The 15,032-nt window shown below is 35.5% G+C and overlaps 1 protein-coding gene across 8 annotated transcripts in view; it reads right to left on the bottom strand.

Annotated features, from left to right (window-relative positions):
* ARHGAP24 (Rho GTPase activating protein 24) overlaps positions 1-15,032 on the bottom strand; it is a 527,517-nt gene that overhangs the window by 4,962 nt on the left and 507,523 nt on the right. For all 8 annotated transcript variants that reach the window (NM_001025616.3, XM_024454238.2, XM_047416235.1 and 5 more), the window contains one exon: positions 2,048-3,122. In NM_001025616.3, the coding sequence (NP_001020787.2) occupies positions 2,048-3,122 (1,075 nt within the window). The remainder of the gene's footprint in view (positions 1-2,047; positions 3,123-15,032) is intronic.

Below are 15,032 nucleotides of genomic sequence, written 5' to 3'. Positions count from 1 at the left end.
TCCAGCGTGGGCAACAGAGTGAGACTCTGTCAAAAAATAAAACATAAAAAAAAATAAGAAAAGAAAAAGTTAGAAACCAATTTGGAGAGGGAAAAAGAATATATGTTTCAAAACTAAAAACCATATATCTCACTGACTGATAATTAAAGTAAAATATTATCTATCTGTCTACCTACCTCCCTACCTATTTACCTACCTACCTATCCATCCATCCACCCTCAATACTTGTGGGGTAAAGTTATAAATGATTTAAACATATATCTTATTGATAATTAAACAAAGTAAAATATTATCTATCTATCTATCTATCTATCTATCTATCTATCTATCTATATCTATCATCTATCTATTATCTATCTCTCTATCTATCTATCTATCATCTATCTATCTATCTATCATCTACCTACCTACCTACCTACCTATTTACCTACCTACCTATCTATCCATCCATCTACCTTCAATGCTTGTGGGGTAAAGTTATAAAGGAATTTAAAGAAAAATGAATAACTCTAAACAGAAATGATCAAAATTTAGCCAGAACAGTTAACTTTCTATAATTTCATGGCTAGGCCACGAGCGGTCCCCCACCCTCCACCCTACTGCAGAGCTCTCCCTTGGCCTGTCATGAGGGTAAGAATGTGACACTGAAATGGCCCATTAAGATGACCTCTATTGGGAAGTTCTATCAGTTTATCAAAATCTCTGAAATATACCGTAGATCTCAGAACATATATGCATCAGCAACATCCTCAGAAATGAATGTATCCATCTGCAAATTCATAGTGATAACTTTTTTCTTTTTCTACTACATTTAAAGTGTGACCCCTTGCCTCAAAATATAAGCTTCCCAGTGTGAAATGCTAATTTATCATCATGGATTGGCAGTAATTCAGAATTCCAATACATAGTGGTTCCAAAAACTACATTCAGAAAGAAGAGTAACCTTTTAAGATAATGACCCTATATTTTTCTTTAAATCTCCTGTCACTCTCCATTATATAGAAAAATTCAAACCACAATTCCACTCAGTGAAACTTACCAAAAAAATACTTTCCAAGGAAGTAATTTTTCAATCTCATTTATAAGTAGTATTTTTTAATATTTATTTTGCCATAGCTTCTGAAAGTACGTTATCTTTTTGTCTGATAATTGATGAATGGATAGGAAACATATTAAGGTAAATTAAAGCCAACTTAACAACCAACTGAGGATCCTAGCACACCATGGAGGAAGGGTTGTCCAAATCACACAGCCTGAAACTGGGACTGAGAACACTAGAGGAGCTACTCCTACTTTGATCATTTTATGAGAAGATGCACATTGATATAATTAGGTTTTAGCATAATTGCTTCTTTATAAATCATATTCTTTTTTCCTCATTTAGGCTACAGTCTTCCTTATTCATGTGAACATACTTCACGTCACCCCTCTTCTCAAAAACCTCCATGGATTTCTATCTCAGAGTAAAAGTCAAAGGCTGAAAATCAGCCTGTCAATCCCCTATGTCACCTGGCTCTTATGGCCTCTCTCAGCTCATCTGAATCCTCAGCGTCTGGAACAGAGCCTGGCAGATAGAAGGCACTCTCTCAACATTCAATGATTGAAAGAATAAAACATGGAGGTCTATTTACTTCTACTTTTTTTACCCTAGTTTCATCCTTTTCTTGTTAGTGAAAACTAACAGGCTCCTAATGCTCTGTCCATCTCCTCACAGCCCCTCTCCTTCCAGCCCTCTAATGCAAATCTATCTATTTAATAATAATCAAAGATGACATTATTGAGCCTATTCTGTACCAGGGAAATGTTCAATCACTTCTTATGTGCTTTTGAGGTAGATACTACTAGTATTTAAATTGTTTACATTAGGGAATCAAAGCTCACAGAGATGAAGCTAACTTGCACACAGTCACAAAGCTCATAAATGATGGAGCAAACTTGTGTTTCTTTGACTTTGGAGCCAGCATATGTCACCCTCAGTGTGATCCTGTCCCACAGTAGGAGGCTACTGAGCCCTCTCTGGTAGTTACGACCTCCAGATTTTCCTTACCTCTTTATCCTGGACTCATACTCTATCTTCTGTTTGGTCATTTCCTGTTTCAGGCTGGAAACTAAACTGTGCAGTGCACTGTGGTTGCTGCTGCTGTTGCCCACAAATGTCTCACTGTTGTCACTGCTACTGGTGGCACGACTACTTCGACCTCCCACACTCCTGTGGTCACTTTTGCTTTCATAGTCCCTGGGGTGGGAAAGGTCGTCCTGCGGGGGCCCATCCAAAACAGGGTCCTCAAAGTTCCCCCCAAAAAAGTCTTGCTCTGGGCAGGTGGTGGTAGAAGAGCGACAGGAGTTGGAGTTCTCAGGGAGGGAGATTTCACAGGAGGAAGTGGACCAGGTAGCACTGTCAATGCTCTGCTTGTCATCAAGGTTCATCATGGAGAACTGTTGATGGACATTATCATAGGTGGACAGTCTGTTGTGCTGGCCTAACTCTCCAGCTTGTTCTTTCTGCTTGTTATCCCTCAGGGTCACATAGCCATTTGGCAGCCAGCTCATGTTTCGAACATTTGTGGGGTTCCCGAGTGTGTCGCTGTTCAAAATGCCCATGCGCACCGTTCCATTCTGTACACTGTGCGTGCCCATTTTGGTACCAGATACCTTCAGTGAAGAGCTCCTTCTGGCCTGTAGGCTCCCATTGGGGGTGGTTTGGGTTTTCTCAAGACCTTCTGCATTACTGCTGCTGAAGGACCCATTGGTAACTATCCCACTACCCTTATTAAAGGCTGGGTTCTTTTTGACCATGAGAGGGGGGCTTCTAGACACATCTAGCTTGTGAACACTGTTCTTTGGGCTGTTGGTTTTGCTGCCTGATAGAGCTGTGGGGGATCCATTGTTCATGCTGCTTCTCTGGGGTGACTCAGACTTGTCCCAGGAGCACTGCCTACTAGGGCTGTCCTTGGTGTTATTGTTCTCCTTGTTCTGTAACTGCCCCATGGTGGCTTTCTTCTGAATTTCATTGTTGTTGCTCACTCCATCTTGGGGCTTGCTTTGTAGTTCTGCATCTTTGGGAAAGAGGCAATCATGTTTGCTAATCATCACTGACATCAACTGCTGGACCACCACAGTGCCTAGAATTGCATAGAACATAAAGTAGCATGAGTGAGACAGTTTTTATTTATTTCTATTTCAATGTGACTCTTAAAGAAACACATTCAAGAGAACATTCATTATTATTATCAGTACCAAACCATATTCTTAACTATGATAATAGCAATAGAAGCTAAAACATCTTGAGCATTTACTTTGTGCCATGAACTGTGTCAAGCACTTTGCTTTTGTAATTTAATTGAATTTTGAAATAAATCTATACATACATACTGTTATTATCACTGTATTATAAAGGTTAAGTAACTTGATTAAGGTTACACGTTAAGGACCAGACCCAGGGCTTGATCCCAGGGTTCATTAAAAACCTGGGCTCTTAATCATAATACAATGTTTATTAAAAATTTGACATTTAATTCTGAGAAATATTTCTTAGGAGGAGGTCACTGTGACCTCTCATCTAATAATTGCCTCAAACTATCAAGATATTTTAGTGGCATCTGTAAATGGAGCCCAATACAATCAGGTGGATGCATGGTTTCTCTAATATATCAAGATAATGAAAATCCATAAGACTTTTGTTCACCATTCAAAAACTTCAGGGCATTTTAAGCGACATCAGCCAGAATGGTGTAGTGAAGACCTCCAAAAATCCTCTTCACCATATAAGCAACTAGCAAAAATCTCCAGAATCAACTATTTTGGAATTCTGTAAATTAACTAATGGCTTGATGCAATCTGGAGAGTGTTTACTTAAGAAAAATGGCTGAATCTCAGTAAGAGCAGCAAGGTCTGTGGCGTTTTAACTTGCTCTAATCTTCTCCTCCTCTCCTAGAAAACCAACAGCCCAAAATCACAAAGAAAACCAGCTATCTGGCAGCCACTGGAATGGGCAGAGCAGGGTTGGATTTTATGTAGTTTCTATATAAAATACTTAAAACTTGAGATTTGGTGAAGAAAATGATGCAAAAAGGCTTTTGACAATGCATAATTTCATTACAACAGCAGCTAATTGAGAGGCTGTCAGGGAGTAGAAACCTGACCTGAGGCAAGGCCACTCTTTAGCTTCCGGTGACACCTGGGAAATATAATTCAAAATCAGATTTTGAAGAGGAAAAAACATATTATATTCATTTATATTCTACACACTTTTCTTGTGATGATTCAAAACTTATAATATTTTCGACTGCATATCAGCAATAAGCAAGATCTACTGCTACATCAATGTTATTCAAATTTTAAAGTTCATAAAAATTACCTGGAGATCCTGTTAAAAGGAAGATTGAAATTCAGTAGGCATTGGGTGGGACATGAGATTTTGCATTATAAACCAGCTTCCAGATAACATCAGCAATAATAGAATAGTAGCACTGGCATCACCTGGAAGCTGAAAATTTTAGCACCCAATGCAGAGCTTCTGAATCAGAATCCCCAGGTGATTCCTGGGTGCATTACACTTTGAGAAACACTGTAGTAGATGCAAATGTTTCCCTTATATCTTCCAAATTAAATTTCTTGAAAGTCCGAAAGAGAGGATTCATTTTTTTTTTCAGATGAGAAAATTGAGGGTTAGAGAAGTTAAACTATTTGCTCAGGGCACAGAGACGATGTGATCAAGGTGAAATGCAATATTTAGTCTTATTCCAAATTATGCATTTGTCCTACTATATTTCAGCTGCTGCAATTTAAAACCGTAGCAGTAATAAGTAAACTTGGGATAGTTTTAAAGATAAAGTTAGATAAAGATAAATATCTATTGAATTACCATCAATTATTACAGAATTGTGAAAAAAGACAATGTAATAATTGATTGTATTATATAGCCTTCTTTTCTCTTTTAGGAATCTCCGAATTTGTCATCATATTTTCCATGCATGTTAGCAGTGAATCTGATAAAAAGAATTTTAGAGCAGTTAGAATAACTGTCAAACTTGTGTACTGTGTTTGAAGACATTGTGTATTCAATGCTATTTTACTATTTGCCCACACGCAGACACACTTTCGGAGGTTTGCAGTTTCCATTATATATGACTGTCTAGTATTTTGGGAAAATGGACCTTTTTCCTATCATTGGAATGTTAACATTTGAAGTATCACTGCTTCCCGTCATAGCTATGAACTGTGTGGGAGCATGTAATTAATTGAAGAGCAACATCCTTAAGGTCTCCATGATGAGTTTGTGAACAGCCATGTCAAAGTGTACTTGTCACAATTATGGAGTATGAGTGTCAGGTCCCTAGAGATTTAAACTCTCTTGTATCTTGGGAAGCTTTGATTCCATCTAGTCTCTGGGACAATAAATGGCCATAGCCCCTTGTAAAGAGACTTTCTTAGAATTTTTATAGTTGTTTAGGACAGACTAGCTCGGCAGTAATGATGATGTGTGTGCCACTGTACACACTATCAGTTTTTCCTTTTGATTCCCTGTCATTTTCTTCTTAGAATGCCAATGAGGAACATGAAGCCCAGATAATGAGGTCAGACTGGTTATAATCACCAGCCCATTCTGAAGAGTCCAAGCAGATTCTGGAGTTCCACTGTGCTACACGATCCAGCAATTCTTCCCTGAACCATATAATTTTATACAGGTTGACTCTAAATATCACATAATAGGCACTTTTCATCATAAGCATTGGCTAAAAATTTGATTTTTCTTTAAAAAAAACCTAGGGACTTTAAATATAATATGTAAATGCAAAAATATATGTAGATGACAGCATTCTGTGCAATATAGTTTCAATTTGTATTTTTTGCAATGAATAACTTTGTACATGTGTCATTTTGCATGTTTGAACATATCTGTAAGACACCTGATGATTTTTGACAAATGTGTATACTCCTGAAAACACCACCTAATCATGATATAGAAAAGTGACACTTATGCCTCTTTGGAGTCAGTTCCCTGCCCGTAACTCTGGCCCATAGCATCCTTGATGTGCTTTCTGTCTCTATAGTTTTGCCTTTTTTTACAATTTCATATAAATGGAATAATACAGTATGTAGACTTTCATGTCTAGGTATTTTCCACTTAGCATAACACTTTTGACATTTATGTTGCTACATGTAGCAGTTCGTTCTTTTTATTGTCAAATAGTATTACTTGCTGTAGATGTGCCACAGTTTATCTATTCACTAGCTGATGGAGAATTGGTCTGTTTCCAGTTTGGGGCTAATATGAATAGTGTTGATATGAACATGTGGCTGCAAGCCTTGGGTGAACATATGTTTTCTTTTTCCTTGGGTAAATGTTTAGCACATGGTTCTGCTGGGTTTTACGGTTACTGCATATTTAAGTTAGTAAGAACCTACCTAATTCTTTTGTGAATTGGCCCTAACATTTTGTATTTCTAGCAGCCAAACTTGGTATATTTTCAGTCTTAACTTTACACTTTGTAAGAAATGTGTAGAGACATCTCATTATGGTTTACATTTTAGTTTTTCTAATGACTAAAGATGCTGAGCATCCTTCCATGTATTATTTGCTATTTGTGTATCTTCTTTGATGATGTGTATATTTCAAATCTTTCGCCACTTTTTCATTGAGTTGACTGCCTTGTTTTGCATGAGTTCTTTACATATTCTTAAAACAAGTTATTTATCAGATAGTGATTTGCAAATGTAGTCTCCATTTCCAAAAAGGCTTGACTTTTTGAAAAGTGTCAATTTTGACAAAGTCCAACTTATCAAATAATTTTTTAAAAAAATATTTTTATAGTTAGAGCCTTTTGTGTCCTGAGTCTTCACTAGCACAACGTCATAAGATTTCTTTAAAATTATTTTCTTCTATATATCTTATACTTTTAACTCCTACATTTAGGTCTGTGATCCATTTTAAGTTTTTTGTATGTGATGTGAGGCAAGGATTGAGGTAATTTATTTATATTTTTTAGGGCTATGAAATTGTTCCAGCATCATTTGGGGAAATGACCTTCCCCTTTCCATTGAAATACCGTGGTACATTGGTCAAAAATCAAATGACTACACATATTTCTGGACTATCTGTTCTATTTCATTGATCTGTGTGTCCATCTTTATATCAATAGCACACTTTTAATTATGTGTGACTTTATACTAAGTCTTGAAATCAAGTTGTATATATTCAACTGTTATTTCCTTTCAAATTATTTGTGCTATTCTAGATAGCTTTTATTTCCCTGTAAAACTTATAATCAGATTGTCAATCTCTACAAATAAAAATTCTGATGGAATATTTTTGTGACAATTATATTAAAACTATAGGTCAATTTTAGAAAAATTAATAGCTTAATAATATTGAGTATTCTAATACATGAGCAGGGTATATTTCCACATTTATGTAGTTCTTATTTGTTTGTTAGTGTTTAGTAGTTTTCAGAGTGTGTCTTATACATGCTTTCTTAAATTTCTCCCTAAATATTTTAAATTTATGAGTGTTGTTCTAAACAATAATTTTATTTCAATTCTAATTGTCCAATGTAGTATGTAGAAATACAATAAAGTTTTATAAATTGACTGTGCTTTATGTGATCTTTATATATTTGCGTATTAGTTATATTAGTTTTATTTGTCGATTACAAAGAATTTTCGACATAGATGTTCATGTTGACTGTGAATAAAGAGAGTTTTACATATTCCTTTCCAATTTTATACCTTTTATTTATTATTACTGGCTAGGATTTCCAGTACAATGGAAATGGTGGGATAAGGTAAACTTACCTTAAACCCGATCTTAGAGGCAAAGCATTTGGTCTTTTACCATTAACAATAGTATTTTAACTAAATTTTTCAGAGATAACCTTTGTTAATTTGAGAAACTTTCAATTTTTTTATCTGCATCCGCGATGATTTTTTTGTATCTTAAAGTGGTGTATTAATACAGTGAATTACATTGATTGATTTTGGCTAACCAACCTGTCTTCCTGGGATAAACCCCACTGGTCCTGATTTATTATCCTTTTTATATGGTGAAGTCAATCCAGTAAGGTTTTGTTTAGGATTTATATGTCTATATTCATGAGGGATATTATTCTGTATTTCTCTTTTCTTATAATGTCTTTATCTGTTTTGATATTAGAGCAACACTGCCCTCATAAAATTAGTTGGCAAGAATTCCCTCTACTTCTTTTTTTCTGAAAGAGTCTGTGCACAATTAATATAATTTCTTCTTTACATGTTTGTTAGAATTCACCAGTAAATTTAAGTTAGAGGTGTTTTTGTTTTTGTGGGAATGTTTTTAGCTACGAATTCAATTGCTTTACTAGTCTCAGTTTCTTTCTTTCTTTCTAATCTTGAGGGAGCTTTGGTTTGTATCTTTTAAGGAACTTGAACATTTCATCTCCATTGCCCAATTTCTTGGCAAAAAGTTGTTCATAATAGTCCCTTATGATTATTTTAACATCTGTAAGACCTTTGGTAGGTCACTTCTGTTAAACCTGATATAGGTAATGTAACATTGTTTTTTCTTTTCTGATCAGTACGATGAGTTTTATCAATTTTATTGATCTTTTTAACAAACCAGCTCTTGGTTTCACTGGTTTTCTAGATTGTTTTTGTTCTCTCTCTATTTTCTTGATTTTTGTTCTTATCTTCATTACTCCTTGCCTCTGTTTCCTTTGGTTTAAATTACCTCTTATTTTTGCAGCTCTCTGAAAAGGAAACTTAGATAATTAAATTTAGGTCTTTATTCTTTCTGATATAAGTCCATAATTATATGAATTTTCCTCTAAGCACTACTTTAGTTGTATCACACAAACTTGGTAGAACTTTTTCCTTTCATTTAGTTTTTAAACATACCTGTATCTTTATATTTTAAATGATGTGTATACAGTATAGAGTTGAGTGTTGAATTTTTATTTATTTTATCTCTGCCTTTAGACTGGAATATATAAGGCATTAAGATTTAATGCAATTACTGATATGGTTGAGTTTAATTCTGTCATCATGGTATTTTTTTCTACTTGTTGCATCTGATAATTGCTCCTCTTTTATTTTTTTATGTCCTTTTTTTTAAAAAAAGTTTATTATTATATAACATTCCATTTTATCTTTATTGTTGGCTTATTACCTAATACCTCAGTTTATTTTTTAGTAGTTGTTCTATGTTTATAACATTCATATTTAATTTATTACGGTCTACTTTTAAATAATATTGCAACACTTTGCATACAAATTAAAAGTCTTAAAGTAGTCTGCTTTCATGTTTGCTTCCATTTTCTGTCTTTTATTCTGTCGTTGTCATACATTTCATTTCTGTATGTATTATGTATGCCATGTTACATTATCTTATTTTTGCTTTATACAACAGGTTATCTTTTAATGAGATTAATAATAAGAAAAAATATTATTTTATATTAATCCACATATTATTGCTGTGTAGTGCTCTTCACTTCATTCATCTGTGTGCACATGTGTCTATCTGGACTCATATTCCTTCTGCCACAACAACTATTTAACGTTTCTTGTAGTACAAGACCATCAGTGATGAATTTACTCACAGATTTTGTTTCTCTCAAAATGACCTTAGCTCCTTTTTATATTTGAAAAATGTTTAAATATATTCACTGGACATAGAAATCTAGGTTAATAGATTTTTTTCAGTACTTCAAAGGTTTTGATCCACTTCTTTTGGTTATATAATTTCTAACAAGAAATCTTCTGCAACATATCTCTTTGTTCTTCTGTATGTAATGTGTCCTTTGTTCCTCAGTCTGCTCTTAAGCTTTTCTCTTAAATTGGTTCTCAGCATTTTATGATGTGCTTTTGTGTGGCTCCCTTTATGTTAATTCTGAGCTTCTGAGATCTTTGTGTTTGTAATTTTCATCAATTCTGTGAAAAAAATGAGTATTTTTTCTCTGTGCTTCATGATAGTTTCTCTTATGAAGACAAAATTTTTATAAGTCTGAATTTATTCTTTTTAAGTTTTCTCCTAACCTGCTATTAATCTCATCGAGTGTAATATTCACTTAAGTGATAATTTTCATCCTTAGAAATTCTATTTGGACTTTAAAAATACATTTGATCTATCTCTTCATCATGTTACATTTTGCTTTACCTTCTTGAACATATTTACAGAATATAATAATAATATCCTTGTCTGCTATCAGAAATGACTCAATCACATTTGGGTCTTTTTCTATTAGCTATTTTATGTCCTGGTTACAGCTCATATTTTTATGATTCTTTGCATGCCTTGTAGTTTTTAGTTGTATGGAAAACATTGTGGGCTTTATACAGTTGGTTACTGAATTTTGAAAAAAATATATATTCTAGATGTGTTGGACTTCGTTCTGGCACAGAGTGAAGCATCTGGGGATTAGCTGAATCATATTTATTATATGTTAATAAGCTTAATTTTTAGAGCAGTTTCAGGTGTACAGAAAAATTGAGCAGAAAGTACAGACGGTTCCTATATACCTCCTCTCCACCGCCTTTTTAAACACAGTTTCCCCTTTTATTAACATCTTGCATTAATGTGGTATATTTGATATACTTGATGAGCCCATATTATACATTATCATTAACTAAAATCCATAGTTTACATTAGGGATCACTTTTTGTGTTGTATGCTCTATGGGTTTTGACAAATACATAATGTCATGTATCCATCATTCCAGCATCATACCGAATAGTTTCACTGCCCTAAAAATTCCTTATGCTCCTGGTATTCATCCTTCCCTTCCTCCCTGAGCTCCCACTGGATCATTTAAAAGATGCTTTAAAATTTGTGAGGACTAATCCATAATTTAAATCTTAGCACTAAGGTAATACCTTTGTGAGAACTCTACACAATGCCTCATTATCAGGACTTTGCACTCTTTTTGTGGGAAAGACAAATTATTTCAAGCTCAGTTTGAGGCCCAGAAGTTGTTCAGACTAAGCATCTCTGGTAAATTCCCTCAAGTCTTGTGTAGTGTCCTCTCATGCAAACATAAATCAGTTCTCATCTACTCTCCGTAGATTTCTGGACGCTCTATGTCTAGTTCTCTCTTCCCTGTTTTCTACTCCCCCAAATTCTAGCTCCCTTGGGCTTCTCATTGTCTGACCTTACTCTCTTCAGCTCAGCAATACCTGGATTTTGCTTGCATTTTTATTCCCTGTGATACTATGTGAAAACTGCCTCCCAGTAGTAATCTGAGGCAATAACTGGGTTCCCCTCATTTGTTTTCTTTCTCTTATGAATCATAGGCATGTATTGCCTGTTGTCCAATGTCTAAAAACTGCTGCTTCATATAGTTTTCTGGTTTTCTAGTTGTTAAATGTGAACAATCTCTATTCCTTCATCATGATGGGAAGCAGAATGCAATATTATTTGTTAGTATTTTAAAATAATGCTGAAAAAACATTCTAAAGGTTTCCTTGAAAGCACATATCTATTATATAGATATGGATATGCTTATATAGCAAGGATATCATTAATGGCTACATCAATATTTGAATGGTAGCAAGAAGAAGAATAATGGTAAGGAATGTATAGATAATTTTTCAAGTAGAAGATAATTTTAAAAGACAGTATTTAAAAAATAAAGCAGTCTCCATGTTTTTCAATAGAATTCATGTCAGTTGACTGCAAATAGTATGTTAACAGCCAAGAATAATGAGTTTCATTCACTTAAACATCCACCAAAATAAGAAAATAAAATAAAAATAACTATTATGGGTTAGTAAATATGTAAGGTTCATTTTCCAACTGGTGCAGTTTTTACTGAAATGAAATAAAAAACCATTTCACTTGGATTACACTCACTCAGATCAGGCTAATGCTGCAAACACCTGTTGTATCTCAGGGGTTACTTCAGCTTTAGAGTATATTTGATTGAATTGTAATTGTGCATGTATAAAATGCACAGCAAATGATTAGGAGGCATGAGCACAAATACAAATTTGATCTCAGAAGTCAGAGCCTGTGAGAGATAATGCCTGTCTGCAGTCTGATCACTACCTCTCTTTTTCAGCCAATCCCCAGAGCTACCAGAGTTACTTTTCTTTTTTAAAACTTTTGTTTTAATTCAGGGGTATAACTGCACGTTTGTTACACAGGTAAACTTGTGTCATGAGGGTTTGTTGCACAGATTATTTCATTGTCCAGGTATGAAGCTTAGTACCCGTTATTTTTCCTGATCCTCTCCCTCCTCCCATTATCCACCCTCCAACAGGCCCCAGTGTGTGTTGTTCCCCTTCCTCTGTCCATGTGTTCTCATCCTTTAGCACCCACCTATAAGTGAGAACATGAGGTATTTGGTTTTCTGTTCCTATGTTAATTTGCTGAGTATAATGGCCTCCAGCTCCACCCATGTCCCTGCAAAGACATGCTCTTGTTCATTTTTATGGCTACACAGTATTCCATGGTGTACATGTACCATGTTTTCTTTATCCAGTCTATCATTGATGGGCATTTAGGTTGATTCCACATCCTTGCTATTGTGAACAGTGCTGCAATGAACATACATACGCATGTGTCTTTATAATAGAATGTTTATATTCCTTTGAGTATAAGAGTTACTCTTCTGGCCGGGCATGGTGGCTCATGCCTCTAATCCCAGCACTCAGGGAGGCCAAGGTGGGCAGATCACCTGAGGTCAGGAGTTTGAGACCAGCCTGGCCAACATGGTGAAACCCCATCTCTACTAAAAATACAAAAATTAGCTGGGTGTGGTCGCAGGTGCCTATAAACCCAGCTACTCAGGAAGCCCAGGCAGGAGAACCACTTGAACCTGGGAGGTGGAGGTTGCTGTGTCCGAGATTGCACCACTGCCTTCCAGCCTGAGTGACAGAGTGAGACTCCATCTTGAAAAAAATTAGTAGTAAAATAAAAGAGTTGTTTTTCTAAAACAAAAAAATCCAATGTCAACATGCTCTTGCTCAATAGTTATCAAAGATTCCTGAATGCAGAATGGTTTATAAGGCCTTGAAAATATTGTGAAGTCTTTCCAGCCATTCTTTCACCAATCTTCCCTATATGCCCCGACATCATTGACCTTACCAAAATTTTCACTTGGATGCACCCTGATCTTTCTTTCTGCTAAAGACTGAATGTTTGTGTCCCCAACAAGATTCATATTTTGAAATCCTAACCCCCAGTGTGATGGTATTAGGAGGTAAGGCCTTTGGGAGATAACAAGGTCATGGCAGCCCTCATAAATTAGATTAGTACGAGCATAAAAGAGATCCCAGAGAGCTCCTTCACTCCTTCAGCCAAGTGAGGACACAGCAAGTAAACAGCTGTATGTGAACCAGGAAATGGGTCCTCACCAGAAACCTATCTGCTGGTGCCTTGATCTTGGACTTCCCAGACTTCAGAACTTAATAATAAATTTCTGTTCTTTATAAGCTACCCAGTCTATGGTGTTTTGTTATAGTAACTCCAGTGGACTAAGACACTCACCCACTTACCAATCTATATTTCTTTTTCTGGTGGAATGACTCTTTAAATGTCCCATCTGTGATGGTTCCCCGACCTCTAAGAAAAATACCATAATTCCCTACTTTTGATCTCATAGGCCTGTGACATATCCTGTATATAACATTTTTCATACTATAATTGAATATTTAGTGGTTCAAATCTGCAACTAGGCTAGGCTGTAAGTTCCTGTAGGGCAAAACTTTTCCTTATGCATCTTTGCATTCGCAGGCTTACTGATGAGCATTGCATAAAGCAGTTGCTTAATGAATATTTATTGAATGATAAATTAAGACATATTTTAAAAGATTATTATTGTGAAGAGTTAATTCTACCCTCAGATATGATCTAATTTTATATAAATCAGGAGAATGAATAAGAAAAGAGGAGAAACTTATTTGTGGACGTAAGAAAATGAGTAGATTCAGAGAATGAGGAAGGGCAGAAGAAGACAAGAGACCCTGCTTGGGTGGATTTGGGAGAGTTTTGAGGGACACTGCATGGAATGGATTTGGGAGAGTTTTGAGAGCAGGGGAGACAATAACAGAGTACTTTAAAACAACTTTCTTACTGTAGTTTTGATTTGCATTTCTCTAATGATCAGTGATGTTGAGCTTTTTAAAGTAAGTTTGTTGGCTGCATAAATATCTTCTTTTGAGAAGCGTCTGTTCATGTCTTTTGCCCACTTTTAATGGGGTTGTTTTTGTTTTTGTTCTTGTAAATTTGTTTAAGTTCCAATGAGATGCCATCTCATGCCAGTCAGAATGGTGATTATTAAAAAGTCAAGAAACAATAGATGCTGTCAAGGATGCAGAGAAATAGGAACACTTTTATGCTATTGGTGGGAATGTAAATTAGTTCAACCATTGTGGAAGACAGTGTGGTGATTCCTCAAAGATCTAGAATCAGAAACAACATTTGATCCAGCCATCCAATTACTGGGTATATACCCAAAGGAATATAAATAATTCTGTTATAAAGATACATGCACACATATGTTCACTGCAGCAATATTCACAATAGCAAAGACATGAAATCAACCCAAATGTCCATCAATGATAGACTGGATAAAGAAAATATGGTACATATACATCACGGAATACTTTGCAGCCATGCCATAAAAAGGAATGAGATCATGTCCTTTGCAGGGACATGGATGGAGCTGGAAGCCATTATACTCAGCAAACTAATGCAGGAACAGAAAACCAACCACCCCATGTTCTCATTCACAAGTGGGAGCTGAACAATGTGAACACATGGACATAGGGAGGGGAACAACACACACTGGTGTTTGTTGGGAGAAGGGGGGGAAGGGAAAACATCAGGAAATGTAGCTGATGGATGCTGGGCTTAATATCTAGGTGATGGGTTGACAGGCACAGCAAATCACCATGGCACATGTTTACCTATGTAACAAACCTGCAAATCCTGTACATGTGCCCCAGAACTTAAAATAGAATAAAATAAAACAAGTTAAAAAAACACACAAAAAACAACTTTCTATGCATTAAGAATGCAGTCAGATTTAGTATTTTCTCTAGAGACACAATAAACATCT

Source organism: Homo sapiens, chromosome 4 (genome assembly GCF_000001405.40).
Source record: "Homo sapiens chromosome 4, GRCh38.p14 Primary Assembly".
Classification (NCBI taxonomy): Eukaryota; Metazoa; Chordata; class Mammalia; order Primates; family Hominidae; genus Homo; species Homo sapiens.
The sequence above is the reverse complement of the archived record's forward strand: the minus strand, read 5'-3'. Positions and strand labels throughout refer to the sequence as shown.